At 40.6% G+C, this 21,217-nt stretch overlaps 1 protein-coding gene across 1 annotated transcript in view, besides 1 other annotated feature; it reads right to left on the reverse strand.

Annotated features, from left to right (window-relative positions):
* Positions 1 to 193, reverse strand: part of SPART (spartin) — a 68,543-nt gene extending 68,350 nt beyond the window's left edge. The window contains exon 1 of the mRNA NM_001142294.2: positions 102 to 193. The gene's annotated coding sequence lies outside the window, so the exon portion shown is untranslated. The remainder of the gene's footprint in view (positions 1 to 101) is intronic.
* Positions 18,758 to 18,941: a silencer, noted in NCBI's record as "fragment chr13:36962882-36963065 (GRCh37/hg19 assembly coordinates)". NCBI's record gives its function as "represses an EF-1alpha promoter that drives an FKBP-Casp9 reporter gene in an ReSE screen in K562 erythroleukemia cells {active_cell/tissue: K562}" and the evidence as "EXISTENCE:reporter gene assay evidence [ECO:0000049][PMID:32094911]".

A 21,217-nucleotide genomic window follows, 5' to 3' on the forward strand; every position in this document is an offset into this window, starting at 1 on the left:
CCGGCCCCGCCCAATACCTTCTGAAAGAAGGAGGGTTATTATAGAGCATAAATAAAACAGTAGTGATTAATAATGATAATAAAGTTTATCTCTTTACTCACTCAACAGCAATCCTTTTGGGGCAAATCACTTATGATTTCCTTCCAGGACTGAAGAAAACATGCACAGACGGAAGGTGGGGGCTGGTACTGGTGCTGAGCCTGGCATGGGGAGAGAGGAAACAAGAGTGAAAAGACTCTTTCATTCTCCTGGCAAAGGCAGCCTTGCAGCTGGGGCCAGGGTCTGTGGTGCTGATCCATCTGCTGGGCCGTCACCTCCCGAGAGAGCGTGTGTTCCTCCAACCACGCGTGTCTTAGCACCAGTCTCTGGCAGGAGCCAGGAGATGGGGAAGACAATTTAAATGATTCACATAACTTCAAAAAATGTGGATAAGCACTTTATTTTTCTCACAAACCAAGAATATCTACTCAATTTAAACTTTTACCTGCGATCTCTCTTCCTCAGACCCAGGGTCACGAACTTGCCGTCTAACCTGGCAGGTCAGTAAAACCTTACCCCATCAGGTCTTCATCTGTAAGATGAGAAGGTGGCAGCAGAGGTTCCGAAGGCTCCTTCCAGATGAAAACAAATACGATTTTTACATCAGTAGAAATTCAAGGGGCTCACACTTGACTATATGAAAGAGAAAATAAAAAATTATTTGTTTATTTTTCTGTTGGCCTTTTCCTATCATTTTAGCTTACTTATTTCTTCTTTTTGACCCCATTTTTGTGTTTCTTATTTCTTCTATTAACACCACTGGATTAAAGCAAGCAAAAATTTAAAGATTAATATCCTTTTTAAAAATTTCAGACATATAACACACACACACACACACACACATACACACACACCCTGCATGTAGATAAAGCAGCTAGAAATGAAAGCCTAACTGAAACATAATTCCAGTGGTTCTCAAACTTTAGCAGGCATTAGAATCACCTGAAAGATTTGTTAAAATGCATGTTGCTGGACATCAACCCAGAATTTTTAATTTGCTAGGTAAGGTGGAGTCCCAAAATTAACATTTCTTACAGGTTCCAAGTAATACGGATGTTGTTGGTCTGGGACCACACTTTGAAAACCACTGCTTTATAGCACAGCTTCCAAGGAGACTCCAGTGTGTGTTCTGTGTGTACCTTCTCTATGTATGTATGTTCTGTATATATATATGTACAGTACACATATCTCCAATGTATGTTCTCGTCTAATCCCTTAAAGTCATGATGTGCCTCAGGCCATCATTTCTTCCCTTTACTGTTTGTCAGCTGTCACCAAGTTGAGGTGGCAGTGGTGGTTTTCTTTATGTCAAAGCACTTTCCATCTATTCCTAATTGATTGCCTACTGATTTCTTGGTTTCCTTGACTATTTCGTTGAAAGGATCTCAAGCCGCTGTAAAACTTGCATTTTAACATCTAGCGTGACATTCTCCCTCTGTTTAGTGTCATTTTTGTGGCAGATTAAGATCTCCCACCAGCACACTTTCCCATTTAATCCTCCAGCCATTGTAGTTCAAAACTCTTTGCCAGAAATCCTGCATGCCCAGAACACACACACATACACACACACACACACACACACACACACACACAAACACACACACACACACACACACAATGAAAGGCCACTCAAGTCAGGGTAACAAGGTGGAGCCTTTGCAGTGCATTTAGCTAATGCCAATAGAGATGCAGTATAAATAGTTGTACCAAGTTTCCATCTTTCCCTTAAGCAGGATGTAAGCATGAGATTGTAGAAGAAAGGATTCTGTAAACAGATTTATTTCGTGATATTTGGGTAGACAGTTCTTGTTAACATAGAACAACTTTATACTAACTATAGAAAATGCTTTTCAATAAATCCTCCTTGACAATCAGTGTATTCTCAGGTTCTTGTCTTCTGGGAGAGATCTACAGAATAAATTATTCTGGGAAGTGTATGGTATGGCACATAAAGAGGAAGGAGTGGTTATTTGTATGAAATAAAAATGGTAACTGATTTTTAAAAGATACTTACATGACTTAATCTCTGTTAGAGTACCAACATTAAAACTAACTAACAATTATGAGGGCTTATTAGCAGTCTTCTCCAAGGTGAGGAAACAAGATCTGTACTTCAACACTGCCTTCTGCTACCTGCCTGCTCCTTCCTACCTCCCTTTCTGCCCACACAGAGGGTCTTGTCATTTGGCAGGAAGAAAAACGAATCAGGAGCCCTGAAGCAGAGGGCTGCTGCTGTTGCTGGTGATTGATGGGCCTGGGTAATTTCACCTCTGGTGTCAAAAAGATTTAAGTTTCACTTGCAAACTACTTGCCGAATCCAGCCACCTATCTCAGCCCTACCAAGTTTAGCCTACTCTTCGCCCTCACAGGCATTAGGCATTTCTTTCCCATTCACAGTTATCTATGACTTATTTTTTAGTTGCACATATGTTTGTAGCATGTGGTATGTTTCTGCATGTATGTGTATGTGTGTGTATCTGGAGTGAAGATGACTGAGCTTCAGGTCTCACTAGCCTAGATAGAACTTCAAGCCTCCCTTTAAAATGGCCTATGTCAAATAATTTTTTTAAAAAGCTACTTACTTAATGACATCTTTAACACTTCAGATTTCTATACATATCTATAATATCTTACTGATATGGTTTGGCTGTGTCCCCACCCAAATCTCGTCTTAAATTCCCACATGTTGTGGGAGGCACCTGATGCAAGGTAATTGAATCATGGGGGCAGGTCTTTCCCATGCTGTTCTCATGATAGTGAATAAGTCTCACGAGATCTGATGGTTTCATAAGGGGGAGTTTCCCTGCACAAACTCTCTCTTTTTGCCTGCTGCCATCCATGTAAGATGTGACTTGCTCCTCCTTGCCTTCCACCATGATTGTGAGGCCTCCCCAACCACATGGAACTGTAAGTACATTAAACCCTTTTTCCTGTATAAATTACCCAGTCTTGGGTATGTCTTTATCAGCAGCGTGAAAATAAACTAATACACTTACTAAAGAGATTCTACTGTCCCACAAAACTTATTTGACACATTGCCTTGTGTAGAAGCTGTGTTGTGAATTATGACTGTGGGCAGGAGTTATGGTGTTACTCTGCGACTTCTATTAGTATAGATTGGTGGAGACCAGAATAAGAATTTTTGTAGATTTCTTATGTTTTATTATTTACTTATTTATTTGTTTCTTTATTTTTTAAGACAGGATCTTACTCTGTCACCCAGGCTGAAATGTAGTGGGAACTCACCACAGCATTGACCTCCTGAGCTCAGGTACTGGGCTCACCACAGCAGTGACCTCCTGAGCTCCCATCTCAGCCTCCTGAGTAGCTAGAACTACAGTGCTCACCACCACACCCAGCTAATTTTTGTATTTTTTGTAGAGATGGGATTTTGCCATGTTGCCTTGGCTCAAGTGATCCACCCACCTCAGCCTCCCAAAGTGCTAGGATTACAGGTGTGAGCCACCGTGCCTGGCCATGTTTAATTTTTTAATTAGATGGAGGCATGGGAGTGGCCATTCCTTTTGTATGTGTGAATATCTGATTTATTTCTATTGCCATTTATAATGCAAAGATAGATACTTCCTAATTATTTACTCTGGCCAGGGATATTATTTATTTATGGAGCTGATGACAGTATGTGGCTTTTGTGAACTGATCTGTTTCTTGGTTTTGTTTTTATTCTAAATTTAGCTTTTCACATAGTTGTAACCTTGAGCTAATACAGAGATTTGATTGTTTGATCTTTTTTAGCTTTTTGATGGGTAGTCAAGAAGATAACAGCTTTTCTTTTTTATGAAGTCTCGCTCTGTCACTAGGCTGGAGTGCAGCGGTGCGATCATGGCTCACTGCAACCTCTGCCTCCCGGGTTCAAGTGATTCTCCTGCCTCAGCCTCCCAAGTAGCTGGGACTACAGGCATGCGCCACCATGCTCAGCTAATTTTTGTATTTTCAGTAGAGATGGGGTTTTGCCATGTTGGCCAGGATGGTCTCCATCTCTTGACCTCGTGATCTGCCCACCTTGGTCTCCCAAAGTACTGGGATTACAGGCATGAGCCACCGTGCCCAGCGGATAACAGCTTTTAAACAGTTAAAGCTGTTGAAAAATACAACTCCTCTGGGAAGCTACTAAGAATTGGATCCATTCAAAGCTGAAACTGCTTTGAATGGATAACTGTTCTTATCTGTTTGGTAACTGTTCTTATCTGTTTGGTAAATAAAAAGATAGCTGTTCTTATCTGTTGGGTAAATCTAGATTAAACTTTTTGCAATTTGTGATGTAATTGTGTACACTTACCATGGAATTGCTGAGACAACTAACATTAAGGATTGACCCCTTATGGTATGATATACCCCCAGAGAGGGCAAGGGAGGTAGCCTAGGGAGAGAATAGCTGTCAAGTCCTTTCTTGCTTTTACTGCTTATGAGATAATAGGATTCTCCAGAAGTACCCTCTCTCCCCAGAGATTGAGTGAGCCCCACCACCATTAAGTTCAGACACATACTAAGTTTTCCAGAGAGAGGATGCCTAATGACCAACACACTTCATCCAGCTGGAGACCCTGGCACTTAAGACCAGGGAAGGAACTTAACTCTTTTGAAAGGTGCCAGGCCATGTAAACCAGAGCAGTTTTTCTAAATAATAAAATGTTATTAGCCATGAAGATGATTTTACCCCTTCATCCTGTAGCATCAAACCTCCTGGGCTCAGGTGCTGGGCTCCAAATATATGAATAAATACTGATAATAATAACAATGATCATGATAATGCAACTCTTATACATCTAGGGATCACCTGCTTATTTTCAGAGCAAAGTCATGTTCCAGCGGCAGAATTCAGCAGCCACAGAAATTTTAAGAAGTGACTACATTCTTTATTTTTAGTTGATGAAGAACGTTAGAGGGATATGATTCCGACCCTGGGGCAAAATCTTTTAAAAACCCCTCTCTCACGCTCCAGTTTTCTTGTATGCTCCAGAACTTCTCTCATATGTCAACACTAAAACTGTCCCATGAGGCCCTACCTTATGTGGAACTTGCTCTCTTCTTTCCTGCTCTTTCTGTGGCAGATACCTTGGTTTCTATGCAAGCAATCAAAAAATGTCCTCGTTAAGAGGGAGAGACACAGGGACAACTGAGTAGGCATGGTGCTTATTGGAGTACTGCATTGTGTTTTGGAAGGAGAGGATCAGGGAAGGATCTGAACATCCTACTTAATAGTTCTTGCTGCAGCAAAATAGCTGCCCTTCATTATGCCATGGCCACAATGCAACCACATATTAGAGGATCTGTTTGTATTTTCTCATTTAAGACTTGTTAGCCCCATTCTAAAGAAGAGGCATCTGAGCTTCCGAGGGGATGTATTCTCATGGGCCCATTGCCTCAAAGTGGCAAAGTCAGGATCTGAACTCAAATCTTTCTTCCTCCAAAGCCTTTACATCTGCCACTAGTCAGTCACCATGACTGTTATTTTAAATAATTAATTCAAAGGGAAACAAATAGTTTCTATACATTTTCTTTTCTTTTTTTTTTTTTTTTTTTGAGACAGGGTTTCACTCCTGTTGCCCAGGCCAGAATGCAATGGCATGATCTTGGCTCACTGCAATCTCTGCCTCCCAGATCGCTCAAGCAATCCTCTCACCTCAGCCTGCAGAGTAGCTGGGATTGCAGGCGTGTGCCACCACACCCAGCTAATTTTTTTTTTTTATTTTTCGGTAGAGATGGGTTTTGCCATGTTGCCCAGGCTGGTCTCAAATTCCTGGGCTCAAGTGATCTGCCCACATTGTCCTCCCAAAGTGTTGGGATTACAGGTGTGAGCCAGCACATCCGGCCCGATACATCATTTTTACTGATAAAAGCTCCAAAGCTAAAAGCTCCAAAGTATAAAAATATAAAGATGATTAACTCAATTATTATCCAGTAACTTCATAGACTTTTATGCAATCATTTCATTTAAAATAATAAGGAAGCTGTATATTTTATCTAAAGAAGCATACAAGATAATGATTGATTAAAAATTAAATGAAGTTTAGTATATATAATTATAACCATTTAAAAGTAGGCATATACAGAGTTAAAAATCAGAAAAGTCATAAATATGCAAATTACGTCTAGTAAGTCGAAGAAGAAGAGTTCTATTTTTTGCTAAAGTTATTTACATTTTAAATGACTGTTGTTTGTCTTTGAAAGAAAGATTGTCAGTCTTGGGTGGTACTGATCTACTGACTGCAAGCTTCACAAACCCAAGTTCAAACTGGAGAAAACTAAACTCTCATTAATTGCTAGATTGAGACAGTTCATATTCTTCACCTTCTTATCCTATTTTTATCAAAATAGTACTGTACTTGACAGTGGAACAGCCTGAAACAAAATCAACCTAAAGGCCTGCTCTCCTGCCCTGCGTGGGGTACCGTGGTCTTGTTTAAATCAAAGACAAAGTGGTAAATTAGCAGTCTGATGCCGAGAATGTTTAGGCTCATTCCTCTACCAGCAGACACTGAGCATTTCTTTCTTTCTTTCTTTCTTTTTTTTTTTTTGAGACGGAATTTCACTCTTGTTGCCCAGGCTGGAGTGTTATGGTGTGATCTCGGCTCGCCGCAACCTTTGCCTCCTGGGTTCAAGTGATTCTCCTGCCTCAGCCTCCCGAGTAGCTGGGATTACAGGCATATGCCACCACGCCCGGCTATTTTTTTTTTTTTTTAAGGACAGACGGGGTTTCTCCATGTTGGTCAGGCTGGGCTTGAACTCCCTACCTCAGGTGATGAGCCCTCCTTGGCCTCCCAAAGTGCTGGGATTATAGGCGTGAACCACTGCGCCCGGGCAACACAGAGCATTTCTTACTCTCCCCTTCCTTGCTCCACCTGAAGCCTTTAGTAGTCATTAAAGTATAAAAGACTGGTGTCATTTCAAGAGTGGCTTCTCTTGGGGAGATTTGTGTCAGATCTCTAAGCCTTGCTCTCTAAAGGAAATGGAGACTGTAAGCGAAAGAGAATTTGAGGAATTGTTGAGAAGACAGGTAAGAGACACTGAAAGCCGACCTCATTGTGTGACTCAAGGTCACCTTTATGCTGGGGGAAAGACTGCCTTCCTGAGGGGCTGTATCCTCAGAGGAAAATGTTCTTCATTTTATATCATTAAAATAACACTTCTGGTGTTTATGACTCTCATGAAAGAGTGAATTTTGGAAAGGAGACCTTACTATGCCTATAGAAGATAGTTTTCTGTAGTTATATGTTAGTTCATGCGTTTTCTCTGAAGAAGGACTTCTTTGTCCTGAAGGTATCTGTGGGTTTTCTCTTATAGAAAACAGGTGTGAAAGTTCAGTGTTCAACAGCTCTACCATTCTCTTTAACAGATTTATTTTATCTTATTTTATTTTATTTATTTTTTGAGGCTCCCGCTCTATCACTGGGCTGGAGTGCAGAGGCATGATCCCAGCTCACTGCCGCTTACACCTCCCAGGCTCAAGCAATCCTCTCACCTCAGCCTCCTGAGTAGCTGGGACTGCAGGCGTGTGCCACCACACCCAGCTAAGTTTTGTATTTTTTTCATAGAGATGGGGTTTCAACATGTTACCCAGGCTGACCTCGAACTCCTGGGCTTAAGTGATCCGCCCACCTTGGCTTCCCAGTGTTGGGATTACAGGCATGAGCCACTGTGCCCAGCAAGCAAATTTATTATAAATTTCATTTTGTCTTTTATAATTCATCATAAGATGCCTCACTTTGCTCTAAGTATCAAGCTTTGTTTCATTCTCTGAGCTCCTAGAAGGCAAGACTTTCTGTGTACCAGTGAGGGGTTGTAGTTGATAGCTGTGATTTGAGAAGGTATTTCACAAGCAAAATCATTTTATCTGTGCCACCCTCTGTGTATTTCTATTGCATTTTTATGCTCATTGTATTTAAAAAGGTACCTAACAACAAAGAGCCAACAATTTCACCCTCCCATTCCATTGCTTATACCTTCTGCTTCATTTCATGTGTCTGACCTACATACAGAGTCTGTGTCATGGTCCTGGGTCTATACTGTAGCCCAGATAATACCTTAGAGATATTTTTCTTAATGAAGAACACTGGTTTATAGTCCAGTATACTGGAATATACATATGGAATTTAAATTGGGTGACACTGAACTCATATAAAGCTGGAGGGTAATGCAAACCATATTTTTCTCTTTATACTCTCCTGCTTCCTGATAGGCTGCTGTGGCCTAGAAAGAGCTCTTCTCTGGGTTTCTGGAGAAATAGAATAGAACTCCCATCTGGAATTCATTAGCTTATCTTATCAGGATCTTGTGCAATTCTCTTAATCATTCTGAGTCTCATATGGAATGTAATAATAATAGTGGCTATGTTGCAAGGTGCTATAAAGATTATCGGAAGTAATGTGCATAGAAATCTTTTTTACTTTGTCAACTACAGATATTCAGTTATTTTTCCACCCCAAGACTGTCCTGGCCTCATTTTGGGGGTCAACTGAAGACTAAGGACACTCAGGGTGTTCTTCAGCTCTTCCTCTCACCCCTATGTCTGTGTCTATAGACTCCACCCCTTTCTTTCCTCTACTGCTACACTCATTTTCAGGTACCCATCACCATTCCAGCAGCCTCCCGACTCTTTGTCTAGACCTCCTGGGAATCACCAAAGTCAAACTTTCCTGAGATTTCCAAAGTGTTAAACTTTTTAAGCCTTACCTTATATCTATATATTCTATATTTTTCTTTTCTTTTCTTTTCTTTTCTTTTCTTTTCTTTTCTTTTCTTTTCTTTTCTTTTCTACGGAGTCTTCCTCTGTCGCCAGGCTGGAGTGCAGTGGTGCGATCTTTGCTCACTGCAACCTCTGCCTCCTGGGTTCAAGCGATTCTCCTGTGTCAGCCTCCCAAGTAGCTGGGATTACAGGTGCCCACCACCATGCCTGGCTAATTTTTGTATTTTTAGTGGAGATGGGGTTTCACCATGTTGGCCAGGTTGATTTCAAACTCCTGACCTCAAGTGATCTGCCCACCTTGTCCTCCCAAAGTGCTGGGATTATAGGCATGAGTCACAGCGCCTGGCATCCTATTTTCTATGTATTTCTTACTTAGAAATAAACACCAATGTTCTTTAGGCTCTAACATGCTGACATCGAAAGAAAATCCTCTTGGCTTCACTTCTTTCATCCTATGTTTCAGATTGTCAATAGCCATCTTCCTAAAACCCATTTCTAATTATTCTGTGCCTCTGCCTAAGAACCTTCTTTGAATTCTCACTGCCTAAAGATCAAAGTCCAAATCGCTTAACATGTCCTACAAGGCTCTTTGCATCTAGTCCCAGCCAAGCTTGTTTCAGTGCACTACATTCCCTGCACCCACTGACTAGCCACACGGAACTGAATGCACTTCCCTATGTAGGTCATGCATTTCCAACTCTCTTTACTCTTGCTCCTTCTCTTTCTTTAGTCTGGAATTTCTGTATCCCTCTTATAAGCCGGATAGATTCAACACTGCTCTTTCAGGACCCAGTTTGGAAATGTCACCTTCTCTGTGACACCTCACTCAATTCTTCCAGACAGATTTTGTCCGTCTTCTCAGTTCCCGTTCCATGGCTGGCATTTATTCAGTGCTTACTATGGCTCAATGTGCTCTGACTGGTATTTCTAGGCCCACTAAAACAAGGAGCTGTGTCAGGACTGCATACATCTAATCATTTTGCCTTTCTCACACCATCTTGAATATGTTTTTATTATACTGAATTGCAGCTATTTGTTCCCATGTCTTCCTTTTCCAATCTAAGCTCCTAGACTTTTTAATCTCTATGCCCCTCCCTTGGCCTAGTAACTGGCAACCAGTAGAATCTCAGGAATTTTTCACTGAAATTAAAAGCAGTACCACATGAAATTAAACTCCATCCAGAATCCTCCTAGACATCAGAGCCCCTATTAGTGGTCTCATCACTAATATAACCAGTTATTTTGCTTATCTAGCTCAACTCTTTAGCAAAATTGACACAATCCATCACTCTCTCTTTAAAACACTTTCATTCCTTCATTTCCATGGCAGCAGTCGCATCACCTTCCTCCTCTCTCTGCTTTCTCAGTTTTTTTTGTCGATGTTTTCATCACTACTCAATTTACAAATACAGTGGTGCTCCAGGGCTCTTCCCTGGGCGCTATTCTCTTCTCTAGCAACACATGGTCTTGAAGCAACCTCACTAAGACCTATGGCTTTACATACCACCCATGCTGATGAACAGACCTCCAAGCTCATATATTCTGCTGCCTGGCAGTTGTGTCTACATGGCGTCGCACTATCACAACATGACTGTGATGGGATTTAATGGAACTGTTGATGTCTACTGCCAAACTCACTTCTCCTTCACTCATCCCCATCTCAGTGAATGATACCACCCAGCTACTCAAGCCAAAAATCTAGAAGTCATCACTGACTCCTCTCTTTCCCCTATATCCTACATTTAATTCACCAGCAGATTCTGTTGCTGCTGCCTCTAAACATGTCTTGGCTCTCTCCCTTCCCCGCTGTCAGTACTGTTCCAACCTCGCCTAAGTCATCACATGTCTTTCCTAGACTACTACACTGGTCTTCACATGGAGATCCTCGCTTCTATTCATGCCTCTTACCTTCTCCAAAGCGTCTCAATTGATCTTCTTAAAATGCATTATAGGGTTGGAGTGTGGTGACTCACACTTGTAATCCCAGCACTTTGGGAGGCTGATGGGTGCATCACTTGAGGTCAGGAGTTCGAGACCAGCCTGGCCAACATGGTGAAACCCCATCTCTACTAAAGATACAAAAGTTAGCAGGGTGTTGTGGTGTGCACCTGTAATCCCAACTACTCGGGAGACTGAGGCAGGTGAATCACTGGAACCGAGGAGGCGGAGGTTACAGTGAGCCAAGGTTGTGCCACTGCACTCCAGCCTGGGCAACAGAGCAAGACTCTGTCTCAAAAAACAAACAGACAAACAAAAAACCCCAATATTATAAATCAGATCAAGCCCATTCCTTGCTTAAAATCTTCAACTAGCTTCCTGTTGTATTCAGAGTAAAATCTGAATTCTTCAGCAGAACTTACAAAGCTTCCATGACCGGCTTCTGTCTAGTTTACTGATTTCATCTTAAGCCATTTCCCTCTTGCTTACTATGACATAGACAAGCTGTCTTTTTGTTTGTTTGTTTGTTTGTTTCTTGAACTTGTCACTTCATTTCTTAGGGCTTTTGTACTAACTCTTCCTCTTCCTGGAAAGCTGTTGCTCCTGATCCTTTTATGGCTGGCTACTCTTTGTCACTCAACCTAAATGTCACATCCTTATAGGACCCTTCCTTACTTACCACCCAATCCACAGTACTTACCTCTCACTCTCTTTTCATACTACTCTATTTTTTCTTTATATGAAGTGTATTAAATCTCATTTTTGACTTTTTAAAATCAATTTTATATTTTCCTAATGAAATAGACACTCCACATGAGAGCAGCCACTTCGCTTTTTGTGTACATTCCCAGTGTTTCTTGCCTCTAAGACATATGTCTTAGAGATTTGTTGGATGACTGAATTTGTCCACTTCAGTCCAGTCCAGGATTCCTCAGCCACTTGTGAGCCCGAAGAATAATAATAAGTTCAACTTCTTAACTCATCAGATTAGAGGACCAAGCTCCTAATTATTATTTAAATGTATACATCCTTGAAATATAACTGAAATTTAGATATGGGTCACAAATGCTCTTAACTTTTAATAGCACTTCTTCCTTTCTTTACTTTTTTTTTTTTTTTTTGAGATGGAGTCTTGCTCTGTCACCCAGGTTGGAGTGCAGTGGTGCGAACTTGGCTCACTGCAACCTCCACCTCCTGGGTTCAAGCGATTCTCCTGCCTCAGCCTCCTGAGCAGCTGGGGCTACAGATGCACACCACCACAGCCAGCTAATTTTTGTGTTTTTAGTAGAGACAGGGTTTCATCATGTTGGCCAGGATGGTCTCCATCTCTTGACCTCATGATCTGCCAGCCTCAGCCTCTCAAAGTGCTGGGATTATAGGTGTGAGCCACCACGCCGGGCCAGCATTTCTTTTTTAAGATACAAAAAGGAAATAAAATGAAGCATTCTATATAGTCCTCAAAAGTATTTGTTACTTATTATCACCCAGTGAAAAATTGCTTTGATCACTTTCATAGTTAGCATGCTTCAATACCACTGACTCATCACTCATTCACTCTGCTTTTCCTGTTTGAATCATTATCCAGATGACAGGTGTATCAAGCACAAGCACAGATCACTGCCTTCTTAGGTAGTGCATTCTTGGGTGAAATAATTTTTCCTAAGGTTAAATAAAATCTTTCAGACATGAGTGGATTGCAACGAAACCATTCTGCTCTCTGGTATAGACCTGAAGTTAGCACAAATGTTCAGACCCAAATGTTATCTTTTAACTGTTCACAAGCTCTGATGGTCAAGTTCAAGTATTCAGTTTTTAGTTCAGTCAAACAATTCTCCACTTATTTATGCCAACATAAGAGGGGCCAGCTCCTCAAATAAACCCATTTTGAGAGCATCTAATTCAGTCTTTAAGAAAAATGATTTTTTCGTCTTTAATTATACCTGAAGCAAAAATTTTTCTTGCATTCTCAATGTGTTATGTTCTATTAAAACACTGGGAAGGGCCAGGCATGGTGGCTCATGCCTGTAATCCCAGCACTTTGGGAAGCCGAGGCAGGTGGATCACCTGAGGTTGGGAGTTTGAGACCACCCTGGCCAATATGGCGAAACCTTGTCTCTACTAAAAATACAACAATTAGGTGGGTATGAGGGGTGGACACCTGTAGTCCCAGCTACTTGGGAGGCTGAGGCAGGAGAATCACTTGAACCCGGGAGGCAGAGGTTGCTGTAAGCCGAGATTGTGCCACTGTACTCCAGTCTGGATGACAGCGTGAGACTATGTCAAAAACAAAACAAACAAAAAACACTCATAAATGTAAGTAAGAAAGACATGGAAAATGATGTAAGGCTATACTACATTTTATAAACAGCATCTTTTAAACTTTCTCTTTTTTGAGTGATCTTTACTTTTTTCCTTTAAGAAACAGTGTTGTTCAAAAGGGAGACTTTCTAGTATAGATAGCATCTATTTAGATATCATTCCTAGCAGCAGCAGGATTTTCTCTGATGATACAGAGCTGTTAGCTAGAGATTGGTGTAGTCACTCATGGACCACTGAGTTTCAGGTGCAGACATTATTATATCCAGTGTACACATTCCACACAGTTAAGATGGATTTGTTTACCCTAAGTTTTCTCCAGAGAGTCTCTAAAAGGTAAAACTGGTAAAAACTAACACAACAGAGATGAGGTAAGCCATTTGAAGAAACAATTCACTCTACCATTTATGGTTTTTTGGTTGCAAGAAACAGAAACTGACTTTAACTTTAGAAAAATTGTTCGGGAGAATGATGTTGGAGGCTGTCAGCATCAATTAGTGACTATGACATTGGGCTTAGGGATGGGCAAGGACCAAGGTCATTCCAGAGGCAAGGAAGCTGGAAACACAATCACGTCATAGCAGGGATAGACCAGTTCGTGTGGAATAGAATGAAACTCTGACATTTTTCAGTCTCCCTCTGCTCAAGAGTCAGATTCTTAGAAAAGAGCATCTGCTTGGTGAACTGCTTGGCGAGGGGAGGGTGGAGCCCTTGATTACCTATCTAATGGGGAGGAGGTCCTAGCGAAACTGGATGGTGGGCAGCCAATAGCAGCATCTACCATAGCTGCCCTAAAAAATAGTAACCTTATTTATTTATTTTTTGAGACAGTGTCTCACTCTGTCACCCAGGCTGGAGTGCAGCGGTGTAATCATAACTTACTGCAGCCTGGACCTCCTGGGCTCAAGCAATCTTCCCACCTTGGCTTCTCTAGTAACTTAGACTATAAGCGTGCACCACCATGCCTGGCTAATTTTTAAAATTTTTTGTGGCGATGGGGTCTCCCTTAGCACTTCATTTTTTAAAAAAATAATTTAATATAGAGCCAAGGTCTTGCTATGTTGCCCAGGTTGGTCTTGAACTCCTGGCCTCAAATGAACCTCCCACTTTGGCCCCCCAAAGTGTGGGATTGCAGACATGAGCCACCATGCCTCACCAATAGTACATTTACTGATCATGAAGACTGGGGAACTGCCAATGTTCAGTAGAGTTAACTAGGTTGAATACCTCGGATTGAAAATATAAAGAAATCGGTAAGAACTTTGTTTTATTCCATCAGTGGACAGCAGTCTGCATGGAACCTCAAAATGGAGTTGGGAGTAAGGCAAAATTTGCTACCTCTGTATTACTGTCCAGAAGGGAACATTCTCAGTAAAGAATCCTTCTGGCTAGTGTCTTTGAGCTACAATGCACTACATGGGTTTGTATCTGGCATAGTTGCTGGGGAAAGCATACATGCCAGCTTAGCTGATGCTTTCAACTTGCTTAACATTCGTAATATTCCCTGCCAATATTTAAATCAGAAATAATCAAATTTTGGGTTTTAAATTAGTCTTATATGAGTTTGTACGAAATCTTATATGAAGCAATTCCTGACCTGGTCTGTAAATTCTAGAAGGCTAAAAAACTGAATTCTTCAGTCTACAGAGCTAAGAAAGAAATATGGGGTTGTAGTGACTCCACCAACTTACTGTCTGCATTGTGATCCTTCTTAAGAACACTATGTCTCCCTCTGTGCCATCCCTTCTTTTAAAGCTCAATACAATATGTCAGGGAATAAATGAAAAAATAAAATTAGAAAGAACTTTTTAAAAAAGGTACAAGTATATGCAGACAAGGGGCAGACTGATCAGGAGAAAGGTATGAAAGAACTGTATTGATGTAAGCCAAAATACACACAGGACATTGTAGCAGATGATAGTTATAATGAACAGTGGATTATTTATTGTAGAGAGGAATAGTATAAAATAGATGTTATAGATGTTAATTTACAACCCCAACTAAAAGACGTAGTGGGTACAAATGTGAACTCTAATTTGTAGTCTAAACCTCCAGCACCTGGATGCTTTCACCAATCTGTCTTTCTCACTATAAATGATGGGATAAGGACTTTGGGAATTTTTTTCTTAATTACAGAGTTACTTATATAACAGTTACATAAAGGGTATGTAGACTGACTTTTCATTTTGCCCACACATAAAAGATAGTTTTTTAAATTGGTAGTAGAAATGATACTGTGTGTTTCCATGATCATACAAAATTGACTAAAGGTCAGCAGTTCATGTAATCTTACCAAAATATACAAGGTCCTTTAAAAGTAGGGAATGGTATTGATATCTTGTGGCTTCTCAAACTTAAAAAAAACCTCTTGCCTAGTGTAATTCATTGTAAATAGTCTGATTAAATTATTTTGTAAAAAGGAAAATAATTATAAAAATATTATTAAGTAATGCAGAAATATTTGTAGCCCATTTCTCAACTTTTAGCTTTATAACTGCTCAGAAACCTTTGAAGGACTTCCCTCTTTGGGTTTAAGATGGGTTGACTTATGACTTCTGAATTGCATTAGTAGATTAGTTACTACTTATGAACCAAAGAATATTGGTCAACATTTTCCACAAGGCAGTGCATTTGTATATGTTTTTGATTTATGTTAGAAAAATCAGAGCCTCCACTTGAACTTGGTATGAGTCATAGTCACTAGTCATAAGTGGCTGATGAATCCCACCTCAATCTGGAAAGTGGCAGACACTAGCCAGTTGGAGATCACCTGGACCGAATGAGGAGGGAACATAAAAGCCAAGCCATGCCAGCCTCTCCCCTCAGGTCAGTGCAGTGGAAGGAGCATAACAACAGCTGGGAGCATGAAGTATGGAGGCAGATCCATCCAGATTTGAATCCTGGCTCCCTTTCCTACTAACCATCGGAACTTGGACTAGTTACCTAGCCTCTCTTAGCCTTATCTGTAAAGAAAGAATAAAATGATCTATTTCATAGATTTACTGTGAGGATTAATGAGTAATAAACATATAAAGTGCTTAGCACAGTACCTGATACAGAGCAAACCTCCAGTGAAATCTATCTCTAAAAAATTACAAAACCAAAATATGCAAATTCAATGAGACACTATTTCATACCTATTAGAATGGCTATTGTTTTAAAAATAGGGAGGGCAGGCATGGTGGCTCACACCTGTAATCCCAGCACTTTGGGAGGCCAAGGTAAGTGGATCACTTGAGGCCAGGAGTTAGAGACCAGTCTGGCCAACATGGTGAAACCCTGTCTCTACTAAATACAGAAAACTTAGCCAGGTGTGGTGGCATGCACTTGTTATCCCAGCTACTTGGGAAGCTGAAGCACGAGAATCGCTTGAACCTGGGAGGCGGAGGTTGCAGTGAGCCGAGATCACACCACTGCACTCCAGCCTGGGTGACAAACTGAGACTCTTGTCTCAAAAAAAAAAAAGGGAAAATAACAAATATTAGTGAGGATGTGGAGAAATTGGAACACTTGTGCATTGGTGGTGGGAATGTAAAATGTTGCAGCTTCTGTGTAAAAGTCTGGTGCTTCCTTAAAAACTTAAATAAACAATTAAATTACATGTGATCCAGCAATTCCACTCCTAGGAATACACAAAAGAATTGAAAGAAGGAGCATAATACTTTTCCACCAATGTCATAACAGCATTATTCACGGTAACCAAAATATGGAAACAACCCAAGTGTCCATCAATAGACAAATTAGATAAAAAATATTGGAATATAATCCAATGGAATAGTAGCCAGCCATAAAAAGAAATGAAAGTCTGATACATGCTACAGTGTTCATGCTACATATGAAAACATTATGCTAAGTGAAATAAGTCAGCTACAAAAGGATAAATATTGTGTGATTCCACTTATATGGGATACCGATAACCGGCAAATTCATAGACAGAAAGTAGAATAGAGCTTTCCAGGAGCTGGAGGTAAGGGGAAAAGGGAAGTTACTGTTTAATGAATACAGAGTTTCTGTGTGTTATGAAAAAGTTCTGGAAATCACTAGTCTACTCTCTACTTCTAGGATACGAACTTTTCTAGATTCCACATGTGAGATCATGCACTATATGTCTTTCTGTGCTTTTGCATATTTCACTTAGCATGTCCTTTAGGTTCATCTATGTTATGGAACGTCACACTGTACCCCATAAATACATAGAGTTATGTATCAATTAAAAACAAAGCATAAAAAATGTTTTTTAAAAATTCTGGAAATGCATAGTGGGGATGGTGTACAACACTGTGAATATACTTAATGTCACTGAATTGTATACTTAAAATAGTTAAAATAATAAATTTTATGTTATGTGTATTTTCCCATGATAAAAAACATTTGCAAGGCCAGGCGCGGTGGCTCATGCCTGTAATCCCAGCACTTTGGGAGGCCAAGGCGGGCGGATCACGAGGTCAGGAGATCGAGACAACGGTGAAACCCCGTCTCTACTAAAAATACAAAAATTAGCCGGGCGTGGTGGTGGGCGCCTGTAGTCCCAGCTACTCGGGAGGCTGAGGCAGGAGAATGGCGTGAACCTGGGAGGCGGAGCTTGCAGTGAGCAGAGATCATGCCACTGCACTCCAGCCTGGGCAACAGAGCGAGACTCCATCACAAAAAAAAAAAAAAAAATTTGCAAAACAAGACCAACGTTGACTATGTCCGCCTGTGGACCAGCTTGCCATTTCCACACCTAAAATATCCTTTCTGATATTTCTTCTTTGCCAATTTCCCTGCCTCTGACTTGAACTCTACATGCCCACTCCTGACCATGCATGTGCCAGAATCATGCTCAAGCCCATAACCACCTGGCCAGTCAGGCTCCCTCACTCTTCACCTGCGTTCTCCTTTCTCCCCAGGAGTTCCCCTTGCCTGATGCTTCCACCCTCCTTTTATGTCCCTAACTGTCCCTCTGCCTGTGATGAGGGGATTGTCTAGCATGCTCTACTCTCACCCTCTGGCTTAGGTCCCCTTCCTGTAGGGGCTTTGCTGCCCTGTTTGTCAACACCTGCATTGGGTGAGGGCGTGTGTGATGCACCTTCTCTGCCTGTTACCATCCCCAGGTGCCCAGCACACATATATCATATCACAACGGTGGAAGTCAGGCTGAGGGCACTGTTGAAATCACATTCTCTTCTTTTCAATAGATTCCAACTTTTGTGAAAAAAAAGTGATACTTAAATTTGGGAGGAAGTGATAAATTTACCATATTCTTCATCTGTAGCAAATGCTAATAAAAAATTTCAACACATGTATGGTGAAGAATACTGCATGATGTATACTGGTTGGAGATAACTGTGTCTTGGTGACATGTCTCTATTTCAGGGATAGAAATTGTTGGGTCCATGTACTCTGCCCACTCCCTCCAATACAAGTGAGTCTTCAAAGCAGCCTCAAAAATAACTAGTTGTTACAAAACTTATTGAACCATAATATGATTCTTCATTACTAAAGAACAACAAACTGTAATCGGCTCCACTGGAGAAGGCATTACCTTCAGGCGAAAATCTTTTAATATAATAAATGCATTTTCTTGGTAATGTGTCCTGTACACCCTGACATTTCAAATATTCATTTAGCATAATAGTGATTCCACTAAGAGCAAATAAGCCTAGTGCTATTTAGACATATCAGCTATCAGAAAAATATTCAGGGAAGCAAATTCTTTTTTTTTTTTTTTTGAGATGGAGTCTCGCTCTGTTGCCCAGCCTGGAGTGCAGTGGTGCGATCTCGGCTCACTGCAAGCTCCACCTCCTGGGTTCACGCCATTCTTCTTCTGCCTCAGCCTCCTGAGTAGCTGGGACTACAGGCGCCCACTGCCATACCCGGCTAATTTTTTGTATTTTTAGTAGAGATGGGGTTTCACTGTGTTAGCCAGGATGGTCTCAATCTCCTGACCTCGTGATGTACCTGCCTTGGCCTCCCAAAGTGCTGGGATTAGCAAATTCTTTTATGCATGCACGTGTGAACCCAAAAGTATCTGAAATAAGTCTCAATCAAATTAGAAAGTTTATTTTGCCAAGGTTAAGGACATACCCATGACACAGCCTCAGGATGACATGTGCCCACAGTGGTTGGGGTACAGCTTGCTTTTGTATCATTTGGGGAGACATAATACCACATCAATACATGTAAGATTTACATTGGTTTGATCTGGAAGGGTAGTCGAAGTGGGGGCTTCTAGGTCATAGGTAGATTTAAAAATTTTCTGATTAACAATTGGTTGAAAGAGTTATTATCAATAGAAAGGAATGTCTGAGTGATGATAAGGGGTTGTGGAAACCAAGGTTTTATCATGTGGAAGAAGCCTCCATGTGGCAGGCTTCAGAGAGAACAGATTATAAATGTTTCTTATCAAGCTTAAGGTCTGCGTTGATGTTAATGCTGATTGGTTTTTCCTGAATTCCAAAGAGGAGTAAGTTATAACCCCCTTCCGCATCATGGTCTGAACTAGTTTTTCAGGTTAACTTTGGAATGCCTTTGCCCAAGAAGAGGGGTACATTCAGATGGTTGGGGGGGCTTAGAATTTTATTTTTTGGTTCACACATGCATTCCACAAATATTAACAATATTAACAAGTATTGAGTACTATGTGTCAAGCATTGTTCTAGGTACTAGGGTTACAGGGTTAAAGAAATGTGGGTGGTTATTAGGTTTTTTCTTTCCTTTCTATTCTTTAAGCTTATATTTGTTTTTTTATCTGAAGTATTATTGACCCAAGGCCCTCTTAAACTCTAATTTTCAAGTTTTTCAAGGGTGGCCAACAAGGCCATACGCTATAGGGATACATATCCTATCATTTGTCCAGACAGTCCTACTTCTCTTTCTTAGGAAGTTTCTCTGATTCTTTGATACAGTTTTCCACGTCTACCTCAAACAATGTGCATAGATAAAACTTTGTAGAAAAAAAAATCTTTATTAAACTGTAATGCAATTTGTGTATCCAAAATAGAATTGACTGCTCTTCTTTTCTCTTTATGAAGCTTTATCAGGAAACCTAACTAATCACTAGAATTCTGAAATTTGAATATGTATAATCTGTTAACTTTGGCTTATGTGAATTATAGGGCATTAGGGAAATTAGCTTTACAATCTTACTTGCAGAAGAATATTCAATTTTCTTTCAGTCTCAGCTGTATCCATTGGAAATTGGCTATAGGGATTTCAACAAAAAGGAAATCTATGATTATTGCATTAGGATTTATTAGAGGCAAAAAATGAGCCTATTAGTTAGGAACTACAACGTAAGTTGTATTTTGGCTGTTTATACTATAAAGCAGCTGTGGAAAACAAGACTATCCCTGGTCCCTGGTAGAAACGGGATTTTAGAATAGCAAGATAGTTTCAGAGTCCATTGCATCCATCCCATTTGAAGTCTCCAAAGTTTTTTTCTTTTAAATGAAACCCTAGCCATCCTTAAATACAAGAATGCTAATTGGTTAAGGAGTAACTAAAAATTTGTCCAAGCACAAAGAGGTTGACTATATAGGCAACTAAAAAACTCGACATTTCTTTTTGTAGCCATGAATTTGGAAAGAAAATTTCTAATCCATATACTTTTGCAGACTTCTTGCCTTATCTTTATAAAAGGCCTGGGATTCACTATAAGACCTACCTCATGATGTGAAGATTTTGGAAGCTCTCAGCAAGAAAATAACACAAGCTCTATGGGTGCTCAATAGCAGCACATCAACCCTACTCAGGCAATGAAAATACTGAATAGGAGCATTTCCTGGGCACATTAGTTATCCTTTGGCCACTATAACAAATGACCACAAATTTAGTAGCTTAAAACAGCACACATTTATTCTCTTCACAGTTCTGGAGTTCCAAATCCCAGGATAGGTCTTTTAGGGCTCCAACATCATGGCATCCATAGGGCTGGTTCCTTCTGAATCCCCCGGGAAGAATCTGCTCCTTGCTTCTTCCAGCTTTAGAGGGTGGCCACATTCCTTGGCCCATCACCACTTCCTCCCATCACTTCAATCTCTTGCTTTGATACTCAACATTTCTTATTGTTCCTTCTTACGAGGTTATTCCTGTGATTACACTGAGCCCACCCATATAGCATCCCCAACTCAAGATCCTTAATTAATCACATCAACCAAGTCTTTTAACATGTAAGGTAACATTCCTTACAGGTACCAGGGATTAGGGCGTGGGCACTTTTGGGGTGCCATTATTCAGCCT

Source organism: Homo sapiens, chromosome 13, assembly GCF_000001405.40.
Source record: "Homo sapiens chromosome 13, GRCh38.p14 Primary Assembly".
NCBI lineage: Eukaryota > Metazoa > Chordata > Mammalia > Primates > Hominidae > Homo > Homo sapiens.